This window comes from Homo sapiens, chromosome 12 (assembly GCF_000001405.40).
Source record: "Homo sapiens chromosome 12, GRCh38.p14 Primary Assembly".
NCBI classification, from domain to species: Eukaryota; Metazoa; Chordata; class Mammalia; order Primates; family Hominidae; genus Homo; species Homo sapiens.
In genome coordinates this window covers 100,978,921-101,003,717 of record NC_000012.12, presented here as the reverse complement: position 1 = coordinate 101,003,717, position 24,797 = coordinate 100,978,921, and the positions used below count along the sequence as shown (strand labels likewise).

Genomic DNA, 24,797 nt, shown 5'->3' with positions numbered 1-24,797 from the left:
TACAATAGATCACCAGAACTTATTCCTCCTATATAAATATGTGCAATTACGTGTAAATCATAAAAAAAAGTATGAGACATCATCTGAGCCCCGTAAGCTCACAGACTGATGTGCCATGCGAATGTGACAAAACAAAACAATATTAATACGAGGTATTCCTGAGCATACTGTCTTATTAGTCCCAATTTGCTGCTTTGAAAATATATCTCTACTCATTACCATGTTACTGACATTCTCCCTGCCTGGAGAAAGCATATAATTCCCTACCACATTGATACTATGCTTGGTCATAAGGCTTGTTTTGGCACACAGAGTGTGAGGATATGTGATATATGCCACATCTGAGCAGAAATTTCAAAAGTCAATGTGTGGTTGTGCCATTACTTTTTCCCTCTGCTATGAGAATGCATGTCTTACAGACTGCTTCTTCAGTCCAGATCCCATGATAAAGGAATCATGTGAGGCAAAGCCTCAGTTGACCCGTTGCTAACATGTTATGTGAGCTATAAATAAACCTTTGTGCAGGCCACTGAGATTTGAGGGTTTGTTGTATCAGAACCCAGCAGAACCTGGCTGACACAGTCTCTAACCTAACAATGATAATCCTGTAATTTATGGCTTCGCCTGAAGAAGATGAGTGTTTTCTTTTTTCCTGATGGAGAAGCTGTGGCAATCCATATAAGAAAGCAATAGGAGAGAGGGCTGAGGTTTGTGGGGAGGAGAGCAACATAGGAAGAGGAAAGAAAAACCGTATAGGCTAGGGCAGAGGAGGAATGCTTTTGTCAACAGTAGGAGGATGACCTTTGACTAAGGAAGGAGAGGAAAGGATGATAATAAATGGATGCTGAGGATATGGTTTCCCTTTATGTCCTTTGAGAAACTTAGTCTGGAGCTCCCTTCTAATTACTTTTGGCTGCTGAATTGGGCTTTGTGTAGAACACAGTCATGAAAACAAGTAACTGTGATATAATAGTCAGTGCCATAATTAAAGCATTTACAGAGGCTAATGGGCCCAGAAGTCTAATGCTGTCTGCATGAGACATGAGACATAAGATGTTTCATAAAGAAGATGACACCTGAACTCGTTACTGAGGGAAGAACAGGATATTACCAAAGAGTGAGAGGAAAGAGAGCACACCTTGGGAAGAGGAAAAATAGTCATGGAATATTTAGGGTCACTTCCATTCCCATGCTGCAGGAGCACCAGCCCAAAAGGCTGGGGGGAGAAGGGAAGAAGCTAAAAAGGCAGTTTTGTATGCCATGTGAAGAAATTTAAGCTTTATCCCAAAGGCCCTGGGGAATCATTAAAAGCTGTTAAGCAAGGAAGCAATGTTACTACACGTGGCACTACTGTGCATTATTCACTCCTGCAGGTGCACAGCCAAGGGCATGATGAAGGGTTGACCCTGTCCATACTCTGCTTGCCAATCCATGCGCTACGAATATTCCTAGAGGAAGGATGTCCTTCTTCTAACTGTGCACAGGTACTGTAGGAACCAGTGCCAGCAGCCTTGCAAATGTCCTGTGACATGAGTGGGATAGACAGATTTGGGAGTGAGGAAAGACAGAGGTGAAGAGACTGTCGTAATTGTTCATCTAAGTGGCTGCTTCCACTAAGGCAATGGCAGTGGGGTTAGAAAGGAGGAGAAGGGCCGAAAGGATTTGGTGGTGATGGTGGGCAGCGAGGAAGATGGGAGCGTCAAGGTTGGTCAACACACAGTGGTGAAATCACTCATCTAGAATGGGAAACACCAAACTGATGGTGTGGGTGTTGTATCAGGGGTGAGGAAAGTGGGAAGTGAGAAGAATCAGGTTTTTCCCCACAGACAAAGACATTTCTAAGACGTGGTCTTGAATTAGTGGTTATTTGAATAAACTACCATCTTCACAGTTTACAGGTTTAACAACTCCTTCTCCCCAGTGCCACTCCTGGATGTGAGTCAGAAGCAGGCCCAGAAATGACCCTCCCCCAGCTGCTCAGGGTGTTTTCCTACTTTGACCAACTGTGCAACTCAGGTAGGTGACTTACTCCTCCGTGTTCCATTTCTCTAAACGGAAATAACAATACCAGTAGCCTCCCAGGTAGCCCGGTGTCTAGTGGGCAGTCAATATATGTCAGGTTGTATTATGGAAGGAGCATGGGTTTGCAATGAGACAGATTTGGGTTCTAACTCCAAGTCTATTTGTTACTGGGTAACCCTGGCTTAAAGTATTTAATGTTTCTGAGTTTCTGCGCCTCCTTCTGTAAAATTATGTTTCAGGGTTTTTGCAAGGGTCAAAAAAGATAATGTGGAGGGCGTGCAGTGCACAGCCTGGCACAGAATACTGACCAATGGGGCACCAGAGTGTCTACCTGCCTGTGAAGCACTAGGTTTTCCTCACCTCTGCTCTTCCTTGTCTCCTCTCACCACTGTTGTTTCCTAAGACTTAATGCACAGTGTGACTACATACGTATACTATAGCAACAGATGGGATCCTAGTTCCCTTCCTTCCTCTTAGGTTAACCCCTCCTTATTTTACTGTACGTAAATTTGACAACTCTTTCCCTTTCCTATAGGTGTTTTAAATTGCCTTTTACCATTCTGATGAGGAAAATAGCCTCTTGACTATCGAACTTAACATACTGAAGTTAAAATTTTAAATAAAAATATACATGCACACATAAATATACATGCACACATAAATATACATCAACATATTGTATATATTTTTCTATTATAGTACAATATGTGGCACATAATAGGCATTGAAAGTGTTTGTTAAATGAATGAACTGATAAGCAGAAAAACAAACTATGTATTTACAGATAGATAAATGTAATAAAATATTTCCAAGTGACTTATTCACAGATGTTCTCACAAATATTAAGATAACAGACCCAACTAACTACTGGGCCTCCAGATACCCAGAGGTATGCTTTTCCCACCTGATTAGGTGACCTCTTTGTCCCTTTAAAGTCATTAAATTATGTCCTACTTAAAAGGAGCTGTATGATCTTGAGAAGCACAAATCTCAAGATGCGTGGCTTTTTTCATTTTCATTTCAGTTTAAGACTTTCCAGAACATAGATATGTTTCCCCTGACTCTAAGGATCAATACAAACAACCTGAATATTGAGGATCCTAATGCCGAATAAGTAACTGCAATAAAATAAGTGTTCAGAGACTGCTTTAAGTCATTGAGGCACTAAAAGAACCTTAATCCTACGTAAATCAATCTTGGTACCTCTGCCTGAAGGATTCTCTAAAGATTTCAGATCGATGAAAACAATAAAAAAAACTCTTCAGTTCTTTGAAACAAAAATACAGTAAAAGGCACAGGTTAGAAGAATCACTATCTTCCGATATCTATGCTGAGAGTTTAAAAGCAAGTAGTCATATGTTACTGACACATAAAATGTTAAATGGCAAAGTATCTGGAACACTGAGTAACATTTGGCTTAAAAGCAAAGCAATTCCAGTTCAGGTCAGTTATGAGCCTTTGCAAAATCAGTCTCTGTCACCTCAAACTTTCCCATTACACACCAACTGCAACTTTGCAGATTCTCCAAAGGATTCTCAGTATACTGCTGGTTTGTGGTAATAATGATAATGATAACTATCATTTGTTGATTTGTTGAGTGCTTTCTATCTGCCAGGTACTGGACTAAGCCTTTTTTTTTTTTTTTTTAAGATGGAGTCTCGCTCTGTTGCCCAGACTGGAGTGCAGTGGCATGATCTCGGCTCACTGCAACTTCTGCCTCCCTGGTCCAAGTGATTCTCCTGCCTCATCCTCCTGAGTAGCTGGGACTACAGTCTTGCACCACCATGCCTGGCTAAAGTTTTTTTTTTTTTTTAGTAGAGAGGGGGTTTCACAATGTTGGCCAGGCTGGTCTCAAACTCCTGGCTGCAAGCAATCTGCCTGCATTGGCCTCCCAAATTGCTGGGGTTACAGGTGTGAGCCATCGCGCCAGGCCCTAAGTCTTTTACATATGTCATTTCATTTAATGTCCCCAAATCCTATTGCCACCTTCCTCTCTCCCTCTCTCTTTTCTTTCCTTCTTTTTTCCCATCAAAACTTTCCTGTCCTCTGTCCCAACCCTTGGCACTTTTTGGATTGGCAAATTTGTACAGCTGTGATAGGCAATATTATGGCCCTCCAAAGATATCCACATCCTCATCCTCAGAATGTTAAGCAATATGGCAAAGAGGAATTAATGATGCAGATGGAATTAAAGTTGCTAATCAGCTGACCTTAAGACAGGGAGATTACCTGGATTATTTAGATAGGTACAATATAATCACAAGGGTCCCTAAAAATGGAAGAGGAAAGCAAAAGAGTCAGAGAAGAAAAAGATGTGAAGACAGAAGCAAAGTCAGAGTGATGTGATGTGAGAAGGACTCAACTACCGTTGCTGGCTTTAAAGATAAAGGAAGAAGCCATGGGCTAAGGAATGTAGTAGCTTCCAGAAATTAGAAAAGGCAAAGAAATAGATTCTCCTCCAGAAAGGAGTGCAGCCTTGACATACCTTAATTAGCTCAGTGTCACCCATGTTGCACCCTAGCCTTCAGAATTGTAAGATGATAAATTTTGTTGTTTTAAACAGTTAAGTCAGTGATAATTTGTTATAGCAGCCATAGAAAACTAACATGCAATGTTAAAAAGATAAGACTGGGGCCAGAATGCTTGGCCTTGAAATCCAGGCCCTACCTCTTACCAACTGTTTGACATTGGATAAGTTACTTAACCCTTCTGTGCCCCAGGTTCCTCCTCTGTAAAAATGGGGATAATGACGATACCTTACTCACAGGACTAAATGAGTTTATAACCGTGAAGTACTTGGAACCCACTAAGCACTATATGAATGTTAGCTATCATATTCCTATAATAAATTTCATATGGTTCTATTGAAATGACCTTTTCTGAAATTGAGTTTTGAGAGGGGCCTCCTGGAATGACTGACTCTAATATTGACAACCTGAGTTTCCATAGCTGGCTAGTGTGAGAGAGCTTTCTGTGGGGTCAGATGTTTAGGTGGCCATACAATCATGGCTGATGGGCAGCCTGTAGGCCTAGCTCTTGTGATAAGATATAAAATGACGAAGGGCTTTATGCATTGACGTATAGAGATGTGTACCCACTGGTTAGCTTCTATTGTTTCTCAAACATGGAACCATTTTCAACTAGAATGTGATGTTATTTGCTTTTTGATCAGTTTTCAAATTTAGTTTTTAAAGAATACAGTTCAAACAACAAAGACAACTAGATTAGTTTGGGTGTTGTATTAGTCAGGGTTCTCTAGAGGGACAGAACTAATAGGATGGATAGATAGATAGATAGATAGATAGATAGATAGATAAAGGGGAGTTTATTAAGTATTAACTCACATGATCACAAGGTCCCACAATAGGCTGCCTGCAAGCCGAGGAGCAAGGAGAGCCAGTCTGAGTCCCAAGACTTAAGAACTTGGAGTCTCACGTTCAAGGGCAGGAAGCATCCAGCACGGGAGGGAGATGTAGGCTAGGAGACTAGGCCAGTCTCGCCTCTTCACGTTTTTTCTGCCTGCTTTATGTTCACTGTCAGCTGATTTGGTGGTGCCCACCCAGATTAAGGGTGGGTCTGCCTTCCCCAGCCCACTGACTCAAATGTTAATCTATTTTGGCCTCACAGACACACCCAGGATCAACACTTTGCATCCTTCAATCCAATCAAGTTTACAGTCAGTATTAACCATCACAGGTATACTGCAGTATTTTGCTGGATACCTTGCCTAAACTCTCACAGAAAGTTATGGCCATGAGCAGTTAAGTCTTCAGAACCATGCTGATGGGACTACCAGAAACAGCCTTCAGAAAAGTCCTGCAAGGCACCTGTGATAAAGAGGTTACCAGGGATACTGTCCACCATATCACTATTTCACTGTCCACTCCAATGACCCTGTGCAAGAATTTTATTTCAGAGTCAAAAAGCAACCCATTACCTATGGTATTGGTTTTCTTCGTCTCTGACAATCAGAATCACATGAGTTACTACGTTTCTCCCTTCCGCTTGGCCCCTTTGGTGTAAAGGCCAATTTTCTAGTTTATTCGTCAACCATTACAGATACATAGGCCACTGAGGCCTGCAAATCTGAGCCTACTTTTTCCCTGAACTTGAATGCCTACTTTAACTTATATTCTCCTTGGTTCAGAATATTCATTTATATTTTTACCATTTTATTTCATGTCTGTTTAATGCATCTCGAATGCTTTAACAATAAATTCCAAAGGAAATCAGATGTCTTCACATGCACAGGCTTATCCCTAGGGTAAGGCAGTTGAAAAATTGTATTTAGGCTCCATTTATGTGGCACCTACAGGAGGTGGCAGCACTGTGGAGAAAAGACACTTTTTTTTTTTTTTTTTTTTGAGACAGAGTCTCGCTCTGTCCCAGGCTGGGGTGCAGTGGTGGGATCTCGGCTCACTGCAACCTCCGCCTCCAGGGTTCAAGCTATTCTCCTACCTCAGCCTCCAGAGTAGCTGGGATTAAAGGCACGCGCAACCACGCCTAGCTAATTTTTGTATTTTTAGTAGAGGCAGGGTTTCACCATGTTGGCCAGGCTGGTCTCAAACTGCTGACCTCGTGATCCGCCTGCCTCGGCCTCCCAAAGTGCTGGGATTACAGGCGTGAGCCACCACACCCAGCTGAAAAGACACTTCTTTCTGTTCACTCATCTAACAGTGACCAGAGCAACCATGAGCAAGTCACTCAGCCTCTCTGACCATCATTATTCTACCCTTACCCTCACAGACTTGTAATATACCTATGGTGTAACCCTGGAATGAAGGAGTTGTTTAGTAAACAGTGGTTGCTATCATTTTTATTGTTGCCATTGGTGCTACCACTGTTTGATTGGCTGATCACTACTGGCTTTAACTTGCTGCCTTTTCTGCTGAGAACAGTCAAAAGATAAGAAGACAATCAAAGGGATGTTACAGAGAATCTCAGAGAATCTCCCACTCACTGTCCCTCCAGCAACAATTTCCCATTCTTCTCCCTGCCCCACTGCCTTTTGAGACGGAGTTTCACTCTTGTTGCCCAGGCTGGAGTGCAGTGGCACAATCTCGGCTCACTGCAACCTCCGCCTCCCAGGTTCAAGTGATTCTCCTGCCTCAGCTTCCCGAGTAGCTGGGATTACAGGCATCCATCACCACGCCCAGCTAATTTTTTGTATTTTTAGTAGAGACAGGGTTTCACCATGTTGGCAGGCTGGTCTCAAACTCCTGACCTCAGGTGATCCACCTGCTACGGTCTCCCAAAGTGCTGGGATTACAGGCATGAGCCACTGCACCCAGCCAACATTTTCCCATTCTTACAAACCCTCCATGACCCCAGCACCAACATTTCCATTGTTAGCGCTTTTTCTTAGGCACAAAGAACTATGTCATTTTGTTATTCTCTAGACTTTTTTCTTATGCCCTAGCTCACAGCATAGAAGCAGAAAAAGGCGTGAAAGCAAATTTTGTGTCAGGTGGTCTTTTTATAATGCCCATTTTGTATACTACACATCACACATAATTAAAAAGTGTGATGCATGAATTAAATATCTTAGTATCAGATGTGAATCCTGATAACAGAATTTAATGGCCGTAAAATGTTTGATAGAGAAGATAGATTATCAGTTAGCAGAACTAAAGCCAAAACTGAATCAAGTCAAGGGAAAGTTCAAGTTGGACATGGAAACCACAATTGACCATTGTGGTTGACCGCATTTTTCACTTCTCTTCTAAATATTCTACAGTTTTTAGATGCTGCATCAAGATCAGAGAAGCTGGCTCCAGAGCCCTGGCTCTGTCCCCCAGCGGTAACAATGCCAATTCTGCCTTGCTCCTTTCCTGTTCTCTTTGGTCTCACAAACATTCCCTGGGTGCCCCTTGCTCCCAGGCACATAGCTCCTGTCCTCAGGTAGCTCACGGTCTAGTAGGAGATGAAAGTAGGAGTCTAAAGCCATGTGATTTTATTTCACATAAAATCTGTGCCTTTTAAAGGCAGACTTTATTTCAAGGGGTCTTTCAATAATATCTGTTTCATACATGCACAGTACATGAGTTAAAACATTTTGTGTACAACACAAAAGCTTTGCAAAGAAATGGGTCAATGCTGAGTTATATGTGGCATGTATTTTCATTATTGATTTTGAAAAGATAGAAACTTGAAAAAATATAAATACATCATGCTTCACACGGATGACTGCAGTTGCCAGAGCAGTCAGAATGACACTGTCAAAAGTTAAGTCAGACCACGTCATTCCTCTGTAAAAGCCCACAGGCCTTACAGGATCAGGCTCCCTCCCACGCCTCTAACTCATCACTATTGTTGTTCTCCTTGGTATTTCTGCTCCAGCCACAAGGTCTTTGTTCTCTTCCCCAAACACAATCAGAGCTTCTCCCAGATTAGGGCCTTGGTTTTGTTTTCTGTTCCCCTCTTGGAACTCTCTCTGCCCTTCTCACCTCCTGCAAGATTTTTTCCAATCACACCTTCTGTAGGAGGCCTGCCTTGAAGAACTGAAACACTGTCTTTTGGAAATACAACCTGCACCCCCACCCCCATGCAGTCCTCCCCATTCCCCTCACCCCACCCTCTTTTTCTCTGTTCCCATAGCATTTATCCCCTTTTCACTTGCTTTTAAATTGACTTCAAAAAATGTTTACCTCAGCACACTAATAGTGACTTTTGAGGCTGGATAATTTTTTGTTGTGGGGAGCTGTTGGGTGCATTACAGGATGTTCAGCAGCATCCCTGGCCTCTACACGTTAGACACTAGTCGCAATCTCCACTCCTAACTTGTGACAACCAAAAATTTTTCTAGACGTTGTCAAATTACCCCTCACTGACAACTGCTGGTTTATAATTTATTACCAGTTACACCCAGCTACAATGTAAGCTCCAGGAGGGCAGGAATTTTTGCCTTTCTGTTTACTGTTGATCTCCAAGCACCCAGAGCAACAACTGGTATGGAATACGTGGATGAGTGAATATATATTTAAACATATGTGCACGTAGCATAGCATAAATTTCATATTCTTCTCTTAAGAACTGGTATTTAATTTAACCTCAATTTTTATGGGTGTTTACAAAAATAAAATAATGGTAATAATAAAAACACAGAAAATGCAGGGGAGAACATTTTTCTGTCTATATCTAGCACATTTTTCTGAAAGACAATCAGAATTGATCTATTTCCTGAAAGAATGTCCTGTATATCTATTATAAAAAGTAACACGACTCTTCTTGCATATTTCCTTTTTTCTGTCTACCAGCAGAAAACCTTTATTATGGGTATTGACCTTAGAAAGTAATTGCCTCAAGGGTGTCATCGCTAATGCCATTTTAAGAATGAAGGGCAATGATACTTAAGCAGGGCAACATTCACAGGCACAGAGGTGAAGAGAGATAAATTAATTCTTAAATGGACTTGGCTGTCATAGTCATTAGATTCAAATAGAGTTTAATTTATCACAGAGAATGGGTGGCCCTGCCTAAAGGGTGTCATGTGATGAAAGACAGTAGAACCATGGTTTTCAAGGCTGGAGGAAAGGGATGTGATTTTGTACCCATCCCACCACTACCACCAGGGGAAATTTGGCAGTGTCTGGAAACATTTTTGATTCTCTTACAACTAAAGGGTTGGGGAATGCTACTAGCATCTAGTGGCTAAAGATGCTGCTTACTATCCTACACTGCACAGGACTCTTCCCTACAACAAGGAGTTATTCAGCCCCAGTGCCATTAGTGCTGAGGCTGAGAAATCTCACAATAGAGCGTAATGCTTATAAGGGTGAGACCTAGAGCCTTCCTGTTCGAACCTGAATTCCTGCTCTATCACTCAGACAGACTGCGATTATTTATTCGGCAAATCTGCTTCTTTTTTTCTTCTGGGCACACAGGTAGACTAGTTATCCCAGCATTACTACATGACTAAGCTCTAGACTACGAAATGTGTGTGAAAGTGCTATATACCACTCTTAGGCCTGGCCCATAAAAATTTCCTAAAAAATCACTCATCTCTCTTTTTCCTTGTCTGTAAGGGATTTAGGGGATGGCAGAATAACAAGATAACAGTAGCCTAGGTACCTGAATGACTACATGAATCAGAGACATATGCCTCCTTCCCCCAGAGTGACCCACACTAGATAGTGCTGTGAACAAGTAAACTTCTATGCTGTTCTACTGCTGATATTTGGGAGTTGTTTAGACAGGTAGCCTCGCCTAGGTGTACGACCTATAGCAGGTTCTTTGACCATTTTGTTCCTCACTTTCCTCATCCGTAAATTGGTGATAATAATAATACCTCAGCCCTCAAACTATTGTATTAAAGTTCTTAAATAGTGTCTGGCATACAATAAGAATTTTTCTACCTGTAGGCCCACCTTGGTAAGCTCATATAAAGTGACCAAGTAGCATTTGTATGTTGACTTGTACACCCACAGGTTTGCTTTCTTCCTCCTTAAATACAGATATATTTTCAAATGGAATGCTAGGCTGTTTGTTTGCTTGTTTGTTTGCTTTGAGAGATAGGGTCTCATTCTGTTGCCCAGGCTGGAGTATGGTGGCACAATCATAACTCACTGCAGCCTCAACCTCCTGGGCTCAAATGATCCTCCCAGCTCAACCTCCCAAGTAGCTGGGACTACAGGCATGCACCACCACGCCCTGCTAGTTTTAAATTTTTGTAAAGATGGGTGTCACTCTGTTGCCTAGGCTGGTCTTGAATTCCTGAGCTCAAGTGATCCTCCCACCTCAGCCTCCCAAAGTGCTGGGATTACAGGGGTGAGACACTGTGGCTGGCAGGTATTTGTTTTTTAATAGATTCTCAACTTTAATATTTTTGTACAGTGCAGTTAAAGAATAAAGGTTTACAATTAGATTATTCTGTGCTGTCTTTCTGACTTCAATCCTCACTCCTTCATTTAGAAGACCAGCATTGTGTGCCAATTTTATGCTAGGTATTGTGTTAGGTATTGGAGATACAATCATGGGCAAAAACAGATATGGCCTATGGCTCCACAGAGTATACCATTTACCTAGAGAGACAGGCATTAATCATATGCTACTCAAATAATTATAGCATTTCAATTGTTAAAAAAATGTTATCTAGGAAACATTAACTACAACAGTATAGAACAGAGACCCAATCTTTGGAAGGATTAGTGGGGAAGGAGAGGGTCAGGGGAGGCTTCCATAGCAGGAGTCTTTGGAGCTGAGTTCTGGAGGATGAATAACAGCATACTACATGAAGAAGGAAAGAATCGGAAGAGAATTCCAGGAGAGGAAACAACATATGCAAATGTCCTGGGGCAGAGTATATCCAAAGAGCTGAGAGAGGAGAGGCTGCATGTGTCTGGATCACAACAAATGAAGAGTGGGAGGCAAGAAAGGCAGATGAGGCTGGAGAGGGGATGGCAGTGCAGGTAGGCATTTAAGAGCTTGTAAGTCATAGTAATAATTTTGGTGTCTAAAGTTTTTAAAGAGAATGAAGTGACATGATTAGATGCACATTTTGAAGACACCATGCAGTATGCACCTGAGAGAATGGATTGGTGGTGACAAGAGTAAAACCAGGGAGACCTGTTATATTATTTCTGAATTTCAAGTGAAATACAGTGACAAAGTCTGAAGTATAGAGATATTTAGGATGTAAAATCATCAATCCGTGGAGATGTATAACTTGTAAGAAGCAGAGATGAGAGAGGTGTCTAGAATAGCTTCCAGACTCCAGTTTCAGCAACTGGACAAATATTAGTGCTGTTTACTGAGACAGGGAACAATGGAGGTAGTCTACATTTGAAAAGAAGGTATCTTGGATTTGGTTTGAGATGAGTGTGCAGTCAGCTGACTTCACATCAGCTTTATTCTTTACTTACATGATTCTCCTACTTTTGTTTCTATCTATTCATTTATTTTTTCATTTAAAAAATCATTATTAAGCACTTACTATGGGATTCAAAAATGAGTGAGAAAGGCATAGTCTTTCAAGGAGTCTCTAGACTTGGAGAAAGTAATTAAAATGGGTGGTAATATTGGTTAAGGAAAAGAAAAATATTACTAAAACATAGATGAGTACATCTCAACCAGAATTGGGGGTGGAGGTTGGAAAATCTCGAAAGGTTTTTCAGTGGGAAATGTCTCTGATGAAACACTTATTAAACTTTCAATGTTTTTCTCTTTTTTTTTTTTTTTTTTTTTACTATTTTCATGCCCTCCTCCCACCTCACCCCCTAACGAACACACTTACATTTCTATTATTAGCTTGTATTCCAAGAAAAACACAATATGAAACATTCTGGAAAACTAAGAAGTCACATGGGATTTTGGACTATATTTGGAAAGCCAGGAATATCATGCTATAATTCCCAGAGCTTATTAACCAGCTACTTCTGATTAATTTAAATCCATTAATGTCACTCTCAAAACATCCTTAGGGAATTCTTTTCTGATTGTACCCAACAATTGTTTCCAATTTGACAGCCAGCATTCTTCAAGTCATACTTTTATACACCCGAGGGATGCTATCTATGTGACATGGCAATTTTCAAAGAGAAATAAATCCTCACCACTCATAATATTCAAGACACTTATTTAATTTTTCACCTCTTATTTACACGATAAAATTGCCTCTATTCTCTTGGTCCCACTGAGGTCTGGTTCTTCGGTTTGATTCATTCCAGCTGTCCTCTGCTTTTTCTTCCTTGGTTCTCCTGTCTTGATATCTCATCTTCCATTGATCACTCTCTTTTTTCAAACAACACTAGGTCCTCCTCACAAACCTATGCTCTTACTCAGAGAAGGCTACTTGTGGTTCCTCAAAACACTCCATCCTATTTCACGCCTTCGTTCATTTATACACACGTTACTGTCTCCTCTTGGGATGCCTTTCGCCCCTTATCCACTTGGGCAAGTCTTATCCTTCAAGACCCATATCAAGCATTCTCTTGTGATCAATCCTCATCACTTACCAACCTCCCTCCAAATCTGGAGAATTGAGTATTCCCCCTCTTAAGTCACACCCATCATACTGTTTACAATTATTTAAAATAGTCTGCATCTTTACTACACCAGGGTCCAAACTGAGTATTGTTTATCTTTATACCCTCTGTACCCAGACAGTGCCTGGCAAGAAGTGAACACTAAATTAGTGACTATTGAATAAATCAATTATTTGACAAATTAATACCAAAGCATGTCAAAAGGGCTTCTCAAATATGTGAGAGAGTTGGCTAAATATCCCTAATCTAATCATCCCTCATTTATTATATATTTTTAAATACTTCCAAAAATATGATTCTCAGTTCTAGTCCCTAGAAATTCTACTGGGTATCCAAGGGCTTCTGACTTTAAGAATCACGCTGAGAAGTATTGTTCTAAAGCAAGAACACTGTAGAATATAAACAGCATGAAAAGAGGAGGTGGGAAACCCTCCTCTTCCATACACCTATAACCCTTTGAAGTGAAACAAAATACCAGAGCACACATCACATACTTCACTAATTTATCCATCCATCTATCCATATATTCATTCATTTTTTTCTTCCATTTACCTATATCTCATATATCCTCCCTTTGAAGTGAAATAAAATCCCAGAGTGTATACCACTTACTTCATTTATTCCTCTATTCATTTATACACCTACACAACCACTCCTATACCCATCCATGTATCTATTCATCCATCTGTCCATCCATCCATCCATCCATCCATCCATCCATCCATCCATCCATCCATCTGGTGACCTATCCATGTATATACCCATCCATTCATTCAGTGACCTATCCAGGTACACTATCCATCCATCCATCCATCCATCCACCCATCCATCCATCCATCCATCTGGTGACCTATCCATGTGTATACCCAACCATCCATTCAGTGACCTATCCATATACACTATCCATCCATCTATCCATCCATCCATCCATCCATCCATCCATCCATCCATCCATCCATCCATATATCCATCCATCTATCCACCCATCCATCCATCTGGTGATGTATCCATGTATCCACTCATCCATCCAGTGACTTATCCATGTATCCATCCATCCATCCATCCATCCATCCATCCATCCATCCATCCATCTATCCATCCATCCAGTGACCTATCCATGTATCCATCCATCCATCCATCCATCCATCCATCCATCCATCCACCCACCCACCCAGCAACCTATCAATGTATCCATCCATCCATCATCCAAAATTGGTGATACCCTTCTGCACTGTGCTAGGAACTCTATCATAAACAGGTAGAAGCACAGGGAAAACCTGCCTGTAAACCAGACATCATTCCGGAAGAATTAGGGAAACAACTCATTGTCTAAAAAACTTCCAAGATGAACAAGAGAGACATGGTAGGGGTTTAAATTAAGAATGGGAACGTATCAGCTTTTTTCTGTCTTTTTCTCTTAAGAAAACACCCTGATCTCTGAATTAACATTATGTCCCTTCCAGTTCCCACTTTCTCTTGAGGATCGAACTAAGATTTTGAGGCCAGTCTGTGAATTCCATGTTTGCTTCAATGACCCTTTCAAATGTTCACATACTGCAGCTGGGTTGGCTTTAATCTGACCTGTGGGGATCAGCTCGGCTATTTCAGAGGCGTACAGAGTTGCTTCCCCTGCATTAGACTGCTCTTACTGTTACACATTTTTGATTCAGAACATCTATTCTTTGATTTTTCTTTTCCCCTTTGCCCTGCAGAGCTCCACAGACTTTAACCGTTTTTCTGTTGCTGAAATATGTCCCCACCTGGCACTCCCTGCAACTTCTTGAAAACTGCCATTTGGCTTACCTTCGTTTTTTGTTTTTCTTTCTTTTTTTTTTTTTTTTCTGAGACAGAGTCTCACTCTGTCACCCAGGCTGGAGTGCAATGGCACAATCTTGGCTCACTGCAACCTCCGCCTCCCAGGTTCAAGTGATTCTCCTGCCTCAGCCTCCTGAGTAGCTGGGATTACAGGTGTGCACCACCATGCCCAGCTAATTTTTGTGTTTTTAGTAGAGACGGGGTTTCACCATGTTGGTCAGGCTGGTCTCAAACTCTTGACCTCGTGATCTGCCTGCCTCTGCCTCCCAAAGTGCAGGTATTACAGATGTGAGCCACAGCACTCAGCCTGGTTTACTTTCTCACAAAATCAGCAACCTTTTTTTTTTTTTTTTTAAATCCATCACCCTTTTCTTCCCTCCAGGTAAGTCATTTTTATGGAGGCTGTCACTACTGCTGGAGCAAGAGGGCCTGGAATTCCTGATCTTGTTGCAAGGGAGGTGGGGCTGACCTGATCTCTGCCTCCACTGAGAGGCTGTGTTTCTCCTATTGTTTACAGTCTCCAGCACACGGCAGGCTTTTCTGTCCTCCTGCCTGCCCTGCCCTGCATCCAGCCATCATTTCTTGTCATCTCAGAAGCTTCAGAGTAAATTCTCTTTCATTTTTGCAGTTCCTCACAGGCTCAGTGACTTAGCCAACTTGTTTTTCCTCCCCCCATGTCAAAAGTGACAAATAACCATTCTGAGACAATCTGACAGATGACTCAGCAAGTGGGCTGCCAGGTGATGTGGCTTTTCCTAAGGCAACCCAGTGAACTGCTGAAGAAAGGGGAACTGAGAAGTGAACCAAGATAAAACAAAAACCGGAAAACAAAAAACCCTCTTTTCAATGGGAAAAGGTGTAGGCCACTCCTCCTGTCTGCTGGCTAGATGCAGATGAGCCTGCAGGGGGCTCCGTGCACAGGGAGTTGGCAGAGCAATGAGAATGACAGAGCCTGGGTCACTGCCTTTCTGTGGAGAAGATCATTTACCCAACACACACATGAGCAAGCATTGTATCATCTTAAGCCACTGAGATGCAGGGATTGTTGGTTACAGCAGTTATCTTCCCCTGACTGAAATAAAAGGGATATGAACACTCACAAGACTTTTAGGGGAGAAGGGCACTATGCTGTTCCTTCCTCATGCCCAGGAATCAAAGGCGTGCAGGGTGAGGCTCTACCACAGCTGCACATCCTTAGTGAGATGGGGCTTTAACATGGAACACTCACTGATGGATCCTTTGCTGGCTGAAAGGGGCAGTGTAGCAGTCATTCTCCTCCAGGTCTGGCAGTGTCTCCTTGTCCAGCCTCATTGGCTTCTTAGGTAACCATCTCCGAAACCTGCTTATTTGTTTATCGATCCTGTGGTACATGGAAGGCAAGACCAAAGGGTACAGCATGTCAGCAATGCCCTGAAACACAGGAGGAAGGTCTCCGCAGAGCCACAACTATCATACCACACATTCCAGGCCCTCTCACTGCACTCAGGATATCCTTGTTTTATAGATGGAAAGAAGACAGCCAGAACTCTAGTGTTGTTTTGATTTCACCAAGTGGCCTCAATATTATTACTGTTTGTGAAATAGCAGCTGTGAGTTAGATGTCCACCCACATGCCAATAATAAATGACCAAGCAGTCCTAACAAGGCTGGAAAGCTCTGAAAAGGATTCCAACAGTCCCTTAAGCAAGCAGCAGAGATCTTAACTTACATTCTGTAGGTTCTAAAAAATTCATTTTGTGTTTGGAAAACATCTGAGGTCAGAGAAGAGCTCTAGCTGTAATTAACTTTCGGGAGGGGGTGCTGGCAGCACATCCTGGGAGTTGTGCAGAGAGCTCCATGCCATGATTTGCTTCCTGCCTCTCCCACCTCCCCTGAGCAGCCTCTCAGCAGGCAGCCGGATTTTTGGCTTTCATTGATCTCTTTTTAAGCAGGCTCCATGGTTCTCATGGTGCTAGGGCATCGTGACACACATGTGTCACTCTAATGAAGCCAAGTCAATGAAAACAACAGTATCCTAAAAGTGGTTTTCAGCTACAGTTTTCTCTCTGGCTATCTCCCTGGTCCCTCGGTTCCACTGACTTCTGCTGATGAAAACATCTGGCTTCCAAGTGAACAGTTCCCAATCACTGTTCACAGAAAAACACCAGAAGGCGCAAAAACCACACCAAACTTTAAAATGATAGCACTACCTCAAGTGTCTATACTACTGGAAAAAATACCTTCTAAATTTATTAACTGAAAACACGTGGAATTTGGTCATGCTTTATTTTTTTCCTAATTAAAACAATATATTTACATGGCAATGTATTCTTTTCAGTGAATGTTATGGCTAATTTACTGTGTCAACTTGGCTAAGTTAAGGGATGTCCAGATAGCTGGTAAACATTATTTTGAGGTGTGTCTGTGGGGTTGTTTCCTGAAGAGATCAGTGTTTGAGTTTGTAGACTTAGTAAAGAAGTTGGTCCTCACCAACACAGGTGGGCACCATCTAATCCATTGAGGACCTGAATAGGACAAAAAAGTGGAGGCAGGGTGAATTTGCTGTCTGCTTGAGATGGAACATCCATCTTCTCCTGCCCTTGGACATTGGCCTTCCTAGTTCTCAGGCCTTTACACTGGAAATGGGACTTACACCATCAGGTTTCCTAGGCCTCCTTCTTAAAAACTGCAGATTGCGGGACTTCTTGCTCTCCAGAATCTTATGAGCTAACCGTGCAAATCCTGATCCAAGTCTGAAGGCCAGAGAACCAGGAGCACTGATGTCTAAGGGCAGAAGAAGAGAGATGTCCCAGCTCAAGCAGCAGCAAATTCACTATTCCTCCATCTTCTAGTTCCACTCAATGGGTTGGATGGCACCCACCTGCACTGGGGAGGATCAGCTTCTTTACTAAGTCTACTGATTTGAATGCTAATCTCTTCTGGAAACATTATCACAGATGCACCCCAAAATAATGTTTTACCAGCTATCTGGGCATCCTTTAGCCCAGCCAGGTTGAACATATAAAATTAACCATCACAGTGAAACTCTCAGCTGAAGATAATATTATTTATATAACCAATCAATTCCAAACTAAAAAATAATGGTAAACTTCTCTTTCACTATCTCCTTTATTCTCAGCATTGTTCCAGCCTCACCATGATCCCAACTCTGCTTGGTGGTGGCTGTCCTTCTTCAGAACTCCCAAAGGGTCAAACTGAAAAGAATCTCACAGTGGCTCTAGGACCCTCCTCCCCAAGAGAACCCTCCGCCCCAAAAGAAATATACTTAAAATATAGTGAGATGATGGGCTTTAGAGAAGCAGCATGACACAGTGGTTGACAACATGAACTATGGGGCTGGAATGCCTAGATTCAAATCCTGGCTCTGTTAATATTAACAGCAAAACCTTGGGCAAGTGATTTAACTTTGCTGAGCCTCAGTTTCCTTATCTATAAAATGGGCATGATAATGATACCCAATTCGTAGAGTTGTGATGATGAACTTATTAATACATATATAAAGTCTTTAGAACTGTCTGGTATACAGGAAATGCTGGCTATTATTACTGTTTTTCTCTTTTTTCCAAAAATAAAAATATTGAGCAACCAGCTTGCCGCTTAACATTTCTGTTTTTTGCTTTTTAATTCAAAGTTAATTGTGTTTCACCAGCATCTATCACTAGTCTATGCTCAATGATTTAGTCCTTATATGGACACATAAATTAGACTTCCTCAGCTAAGATGGTGGCCTTCCCCATGGCTCTTGGCTTTATTTCATTTGATTGCCTTAAAACTCATTCAAGAAAGAGGCCATTGGCCCAAAGGTTTTTTATTATAGAGCTTTTACCTCCCACACATCTCCAGTCTGCAGGACTAATCAGATCACACTTTGTAAAATTCACATTCCCACAGAATCTGGGCTCTGTGTGCGATGACTATGAATTGAATCCAGCTGGGTACAGTGCTCAGCATGGATAAAAACAAATAAAGCTGTAAAAAAAAAAAATCAGGCATAACTACTCTATAGGAGTGAAATGGCAGCTTTCAGCAGCCAGCCTGTGGCACCACAATTTAATTGAAATGTGGAGATGATGAAAAGAGAGTAGAACAGGGTAATTAAAATGATTAATTAATTGAAATATGTGAAAAAGAGGAAGCAAGAAGGAGGCAAGAGGATGCTGCTTGGCATGGTAAAAGGAAGCTGAGATTTGTAACTGGGGTGGCTCTCTTGCGCCTCAGCTGTATGACCTTCCACAAGTTATTTACCCTTCAGAGCCTTCTTTTCCAAGGTTATAAAATAGAGGTAATAGTAACAATAATCATCATTATCATCATTATCATCTTACTGACCTTACAGAGTGGTTAGTGGGCTCATAAAACATGGTGAGTATGAAATGCTTTGGAGAAGCTGCCAGACAGATAGCAAGCATTATTAATAATTTCTTAAGGACCACACAGGACTAACATAAAAGTGATGGAAAGCAAAGGAACTGGGCTTTTTAAAAAACTGTGGTGGAAGAAACACATTCAAAAGAACATCTTAAAAATAAAATCCCCGTGATCTGCCTGCCTTGGCCTCCCAAAGTGCTGGGATTACAGGCGTGAGACCAGCCTGGCCAACATAGTGAAACCCCATCTCTACTAAAAATACAAATATTAGCCAGGCATGGTGGTGTGCACCTGTAATCCCAGCTACTTAGGAGGTTGAGGCAGGAAAATCACTTGAACCTGGGAGGTAGAGGTTGCAGTGAGCCGAGATCGCACCATTGTACTTCAGCCTGGGAGATAGAGTAAGACTCCGTGTCATAAATAAATAAATAAAATCCCCGAGACACTGGTTGGGCATGGGGGCTGGAGGGTGTGAACTGGCCTTCACTGAGGAGCCTGAGCAGAAGCAGGTGGACAAGGCATGTTGTCCAGGTTCCATTACACACGGCTGTGCATGCTGTGTGCACTTCACTACGACTAAACCAAACACTCAAACATGGTCAGCAGTTTGTGTCTTCCTCTGGTTACCAGAGTTGCCCCCACAAAGATGTACACACCAGAACCTGTGAATATGTTATGTTACATGGCAAAAGGGACTTTGGAGATGTAAGGAAGGTTACAGACCTTAAGATAGGGGGAGCATCCTGAATTACTCAGATGGGCTCAAGTTAACCACATGAGACCTTTGAAAGCAGAACTTTCTCTAGCAGGAGGGATGTGGCAGAAGGAGAATCAGAGAGATTCAAAGTTTGAGAAGCACTTGACCCACCATTGCTGGCTTTGAAGATGAAAAGAGCTAGGAGGCAAGGAATGCAGGCAGCCTCTAGAAGCTGAGGAAGACTTTCAGCCAATAAAGAAATGGAGATCTCAGTCCTATGATTACATGAACTGAATTGTGCCAGCAACCTAAATGAACCCAGAAGCAGATTTTCCCCAGAGTCTCCAGATAAAAGCCCAGGGTGACCAACACCTTGATTGCAGCCTTGGGAAACCCTGAACAGACAAACCAGTTGAGCCTCCTCTTCCTGGACCTCTGACTTACAGAATTGTGAGCTAATACATTTGTGTAGTCTTATGCTGTTAAATTCGTCGCAATGCGTTAGGACAGCAATAGGAAATGAATACACCTCTTAAAACACTCTCGGTCTGATCCTCTCCTCAAGACCTGGCAACAGCTAGCCAGGCTCCCACTGTTAAGGCTGCCATTCCACATGCTGTTCTCACCTCCCAGTTAGGTGGCTCTGGGAACAAGAGTCTATCTCTCTGTGGCAGGATAATGAGTGAGTGCTCCCCTAGTCTGCTCTTCCACAAACACATTCCTGTCTCCAAACTTTGCCACACTCAGACTTCACTTAGGGCCCCCTTCAATCATGCAAGACAGAAGCACATAATGCAAAAGCCACTAGGCTGGAAAGCATAAGATTCAAGTTGGACTCTTGATTCTGTGGTCATACATCAGTGTGGCCTGGGACAAGCCCTTTATCCTCACCTAACCTTAGTGCTCTCATCTCTAAAATGATGATCAGCCAGATATTCTTTAGATACTACAGGTTGTTGGTGATTTGGGTGATAATATCTTGATTATGTCACTTATGTGATTAATTCAAACTTGAATTAATGATAACCTTTAGTATACAATGTTAGATAACCTTTAGTATACAATGATGGACTTTGGAGTCAGCTGGAAGCTGATGATTCACATTCCAGTTTTATAGACCTTGCTGGGCAAGTAATTAAACCTCTATGAGCCAACAGAATCCATAGAACAAGGCAATGGTAAGGATTAAACATGATCATGGATATCAAGTGCTTACACAATGCCTTGGATGCACAAAGGGCTCGATTGAGTGATAGTTTCTAGGACGAAGAAAATTATGGTGACAATAATGATGAACTTCTACATAGATTGCTCTTTTCCCAATAAAAGTTCAAAATCTGTGAATCTCCCTAGTAGATTGATGTCTGTGTTCCCACCTAATAAACATCCCTAAATAGTTAACCCTGAAATTTACTTAGATATGTTAAAGTCTGGAAACCAACTAACCAGAAAGCACCCCATTTGTCTCTTCAGTATAGGAGTGGACTTTAGTATAGACTTTACTTAATGAAGCCTCCACCAATAGGGAATAGAAAAGAGAAAACATTGGCTTAATGATTTAGCATTGATTTTGGTTGGGTATGTTGTCACTTTGTTCCATTTTTGCTATTTACTGAGCAAAAGCCCTCTTACACACTACACAGGCAAATCAATAAAGGGAAAATGGATCAGACACTTGGGCATTTCTGGCCCTAACTTGTCAAGTTAATATCTGGACTACAATGTGAGTTATTTTTACAGAAAGTTGTTCTGATGGTAAGCTCAGGTTTCCTTCATGCTGATTCATGATAGGTGAGATTCCGGGTACCTGGGAAGAGCTGACAATACAGTATAAGCAAATGGGTACAAACTTGCCAGCTCTGCGATGGCTTCCCAAGTTTGGTCTTGGGAAGGTTCTATTTGATCTCTTTGACCCTCAGTTCCCTCAGCTCTAAAGGGGAGATAATCTTACCCAACTTAGGAGAGATGATGATTAAGGAAAAGGCCACATATGTGCAAAGGATCTTGCTCCCAACATGCTAACCTGTCAGGAGACCTTTATAAACTGCCTACAATGTACAGAATGCCAACCTGCATGCTGTGGGCATAGCCTGAGGAAGTAGAAGAAAGGTCATTTCCCTTGAGCCACTAACAACCCAGGAGGGACTGTACACTAATGATAACCTAATCAGACTGAATTAAATGAAGCAGGCCTACTTTGAAGACACCTACTTTTCCCCAGTAAAGAATATTATAATAATAGCATCATGTTTCTAACAGATTACATTATCAGCGATGATATGCCTAGAGGGAACCTACAGATGAGCTTTCTTTTCTTTTCTTTTCTCTTTTCTTTTCTTTTCCCTTCCTTCCTCCCTCCCTCCCTTCCTTTCTTCCTTCCTTCCTTCCTTCCTTCCCTCCTTTTCTTTCTTTCAGTAGCACACAGCTCTACATTACAGTAAATGACACCCTCTTGGAATGATAATAGACAGCAGAGGCATGAATTTGTTTTTCATTTTCTTAGAGCCAAGTCTCCAGATTTACAAGCCTCTGCCTGGATAGAATTTAGAGATCTTAGAAAGCTAATGTTATTCTTTTAGGTCACAGGGGTACTATTTGGAGCATAGCCTAAATACCTTATAGAAGACTCCAAAGGCTTTGGAACATTTACATGTATTAGTTTTTTAAAACGAGGATGAAAATACACAAGCCATTTTGTCCTTTTGCCTGTATGCTCATCTGATAAGTTGTGACTGCATTGAATGTATAATGCAATACAGTCCAGCATTCACACTGTCAAGCCTCACCCAGGATCAAGTCAGGCAGAATGCATATGGGGGGTGGAAGGAAGGAGTAGTAATGAGACTCCACCTACAAGCCACCCATAATAATCAGATTTGTTATTTTGTAATCATATCTTCCACAGACTATATTTGCAATATTTTATGAAGGCAAAAAAAAAGGGCAGCCAAAAGATGATAAATTCCTCCTTTTTATTGGATAGGCAATTTATAATGGCTATAAGCCTGTCCAAAGATAAGAAAGAAAGCAGCATTTAATAGACCAAGTACATGGATAAAAAGAGCATTAACTCCAAAAATCCATGTCTGAACTACATGAGTATGCTTTATGAGAGTCAAGTGATTTTTTAAAATAAAGATATTATGAAGAAGTGCTTTATTTCTCTGCCTGCTCAGAAACCTTAGAGATATTAATTCATTTATTCTTAGGGAATAGGTTTGTTTCAGAGATGCTTTCATGGATTAATAAAATTCAATATCACTTATATAAATGAAACTCCAAGCTAACTTAAATATCAAGATTTCATACGACGGGAATTTTAGGATATTGGAGGTCAGTGTTGCATTATTGATGTACTACTAGATGGCAAGTTGTATATGTGGCCTTCAATTTAGAATATCAGAGCTGGCTACAAAGAAAAAGACACTCTCCATCATCTAAATCAGTCTGTTCTGATGTGAAATGAAGAGTTAAGGTAGATGCAACATTTTCTGACAACGTGGATTTTAAATGTACACCATACACTGGGCTTCAGAAAGTCACACATCCCAGTGATATCAAAGACTTAATTCTATGTGGTATGCAATGAAGCCTATTTTGAGAGGCCATTCTGAATCAACTACCTTCGTTGGGATTTCTTTTTCCTTTAGCTTGGCCCAGAGTCTTCCAGTACCTTCCAATGCCTAAATTCTTCTGTAGTTGTGATGTGTGCGCTAGAAGTAGCACCAATGTTTCCAGCCCAAAGACTAGTGTTTTGTAAGCCATTCCTTCAGCTTTAGAAAGAAGGATTTCTCGGCCGGGCGTGGTGGCTCACGCCTGTAATCCCAGCACTTTGGGAGGCCAAGGTGGGAGGATCACGAGGTCAAGAGATCGAGACCATCCTGGGTAACACAGTGAAACCCTGCCTCTACTAAAAATACAAAAAAAAAAAAAAAAAAGTCAGCTGGGCGTGGTGGTGGGCGCCTGTAGTCCCAGCTACTCGGGAGGCTGAGGCAGGAGAATGGCGTGAACCCGGGAGGCGGAGCTTGCAGTGAGCCGAGATCGTGCCTCTGCACTCCAGCCTGGGCAACACAGTGAGACTCCATCTCAAAAAAAAAAATAAATAAAAGAAAGAAGAGTTTATTTCTCAAGCTCTTATTCACTCAAAGCCTCTCCTCTGCACACATGGAGAACATGTGATGGGTCACAAGGTCATAGTCTCCTCTGCCTTCCTCCTCTTGGCTCCTGTTTTAAATCCTGTCCCCTCTTTCTCCTTCCTCTACCATGAAACTTATCAAAGTAGCAGTGAACCCTCATTGCCTCTGATTCATCCAGCCCTCATCCTTCCACCACTGGCTGTAATTTGGTTTCCATTATCCTCCACTCTATAGTGATGGTTCTCAACATGTGGTCCAGGATCAGTAACATCAGCACAGGTATCACTTGGGATCTTGATGGAAGTGCAAATTATCGAGCCCCACCTCAGACCTACCAAATCAGACACACTGGGGATGCGCCCAGTGATCCGTGTTTTTAAAAGCCCTCCAGATGATCCTGACACATGTTTGAGAACCATCACTCCATGGAGACTGCTGTCACAGAGATTACTGAAACTTCTAAATATCCAAAATTGATTCTCATCTCTGATTGATCATCAGAAGCTGAAGCACAGCCCTCCTTGTGGAATCTCATTCTTGGTGCCTTTGACACCACCCTCTCTTCATTCTCCTTCTACTTCTCTAATTGTTCTTTTTCATTCTCCTCAGGTCTCCCCCATCCCATTAATGCAGATTTTCAAAGGAACTGCCACAGGCGCTCTTCTCTTCACCCTTTACATCTCCTCCTGGGATATTCCATACACTCCCCTCGCTAAGGTCATGCTGACTCCCACACTGGATTCTCTAGCATTACCACTCTCTTCAGCTGCTTTGCCA

At 41.8% G+C, this 24,797-nt stretch overlaps 1 protein-coding gene across 17 annotated transcripts in view, besides 2 other annotated features; it reads right to left on the bottom strand.

Annotated features, from left to right (window-relative positions):
- ANO4 (anoctamin 4) overlaps nt 1–24,797 on the bottom strand; it is a 411,381-nt gene that overhangs the window by 124,924 nt on the left and 261,660 nt on the right. For 15 of the 17 annotated variants that reach the window (XM_011537912.3, XM_011537911.3, XM_047428302.1 and 12 more), the window contains one exon: nt 16,048–16,179. The exons of the other annotated variants lie outside the window; for them this stretch is intronic. In XM_011537912.3, coding sequence (XP_011536214.2) covers nt 16,048–16,179 — 132 coding nt within the window. The remainder of the gene's footprint in view (nt 1–16,047; nt 16,180–24,797) is intronic. 17 annotated transcript variants of the gene reach the window in all.
- Nucleotides 14,850–15,373: an enhancer, noted in NCBI's record as "H3K27ac hESC enhancer chr12:101382123-101382646 (GRCh37/hg19 assembly coordinates)". NCBI's record gives its function as "activates a minimal SCP1, AML or CMV promoter by ChIP-STARR-seq in naive H9 embryonic stem cells {active_cell/tissue: H9 hESC(naive)}" and the evidence as "EXISTENCE:reporter gene assay evidence [ECO:0000049][PMID:30033119]".
- Nucleotides 16,426–16,951: an enhancer, noted in NCBI's record as "NANOG-H3K4me1 hESC enhancer chr12:101380545-101381070 (GRCh37/hg19 assembly coordinates)". NCBI's record gives its function as "activates a minimal SCP1, AML or CMV promoter by ChIP-STARR-seq in naive H9 embryonic stem cells {active_cell/tissue: H9 hESC(naive)}" and the evidence as "EXISTENCE:reporter gene assay evidence [ECO:0000049][PMID:30033119]".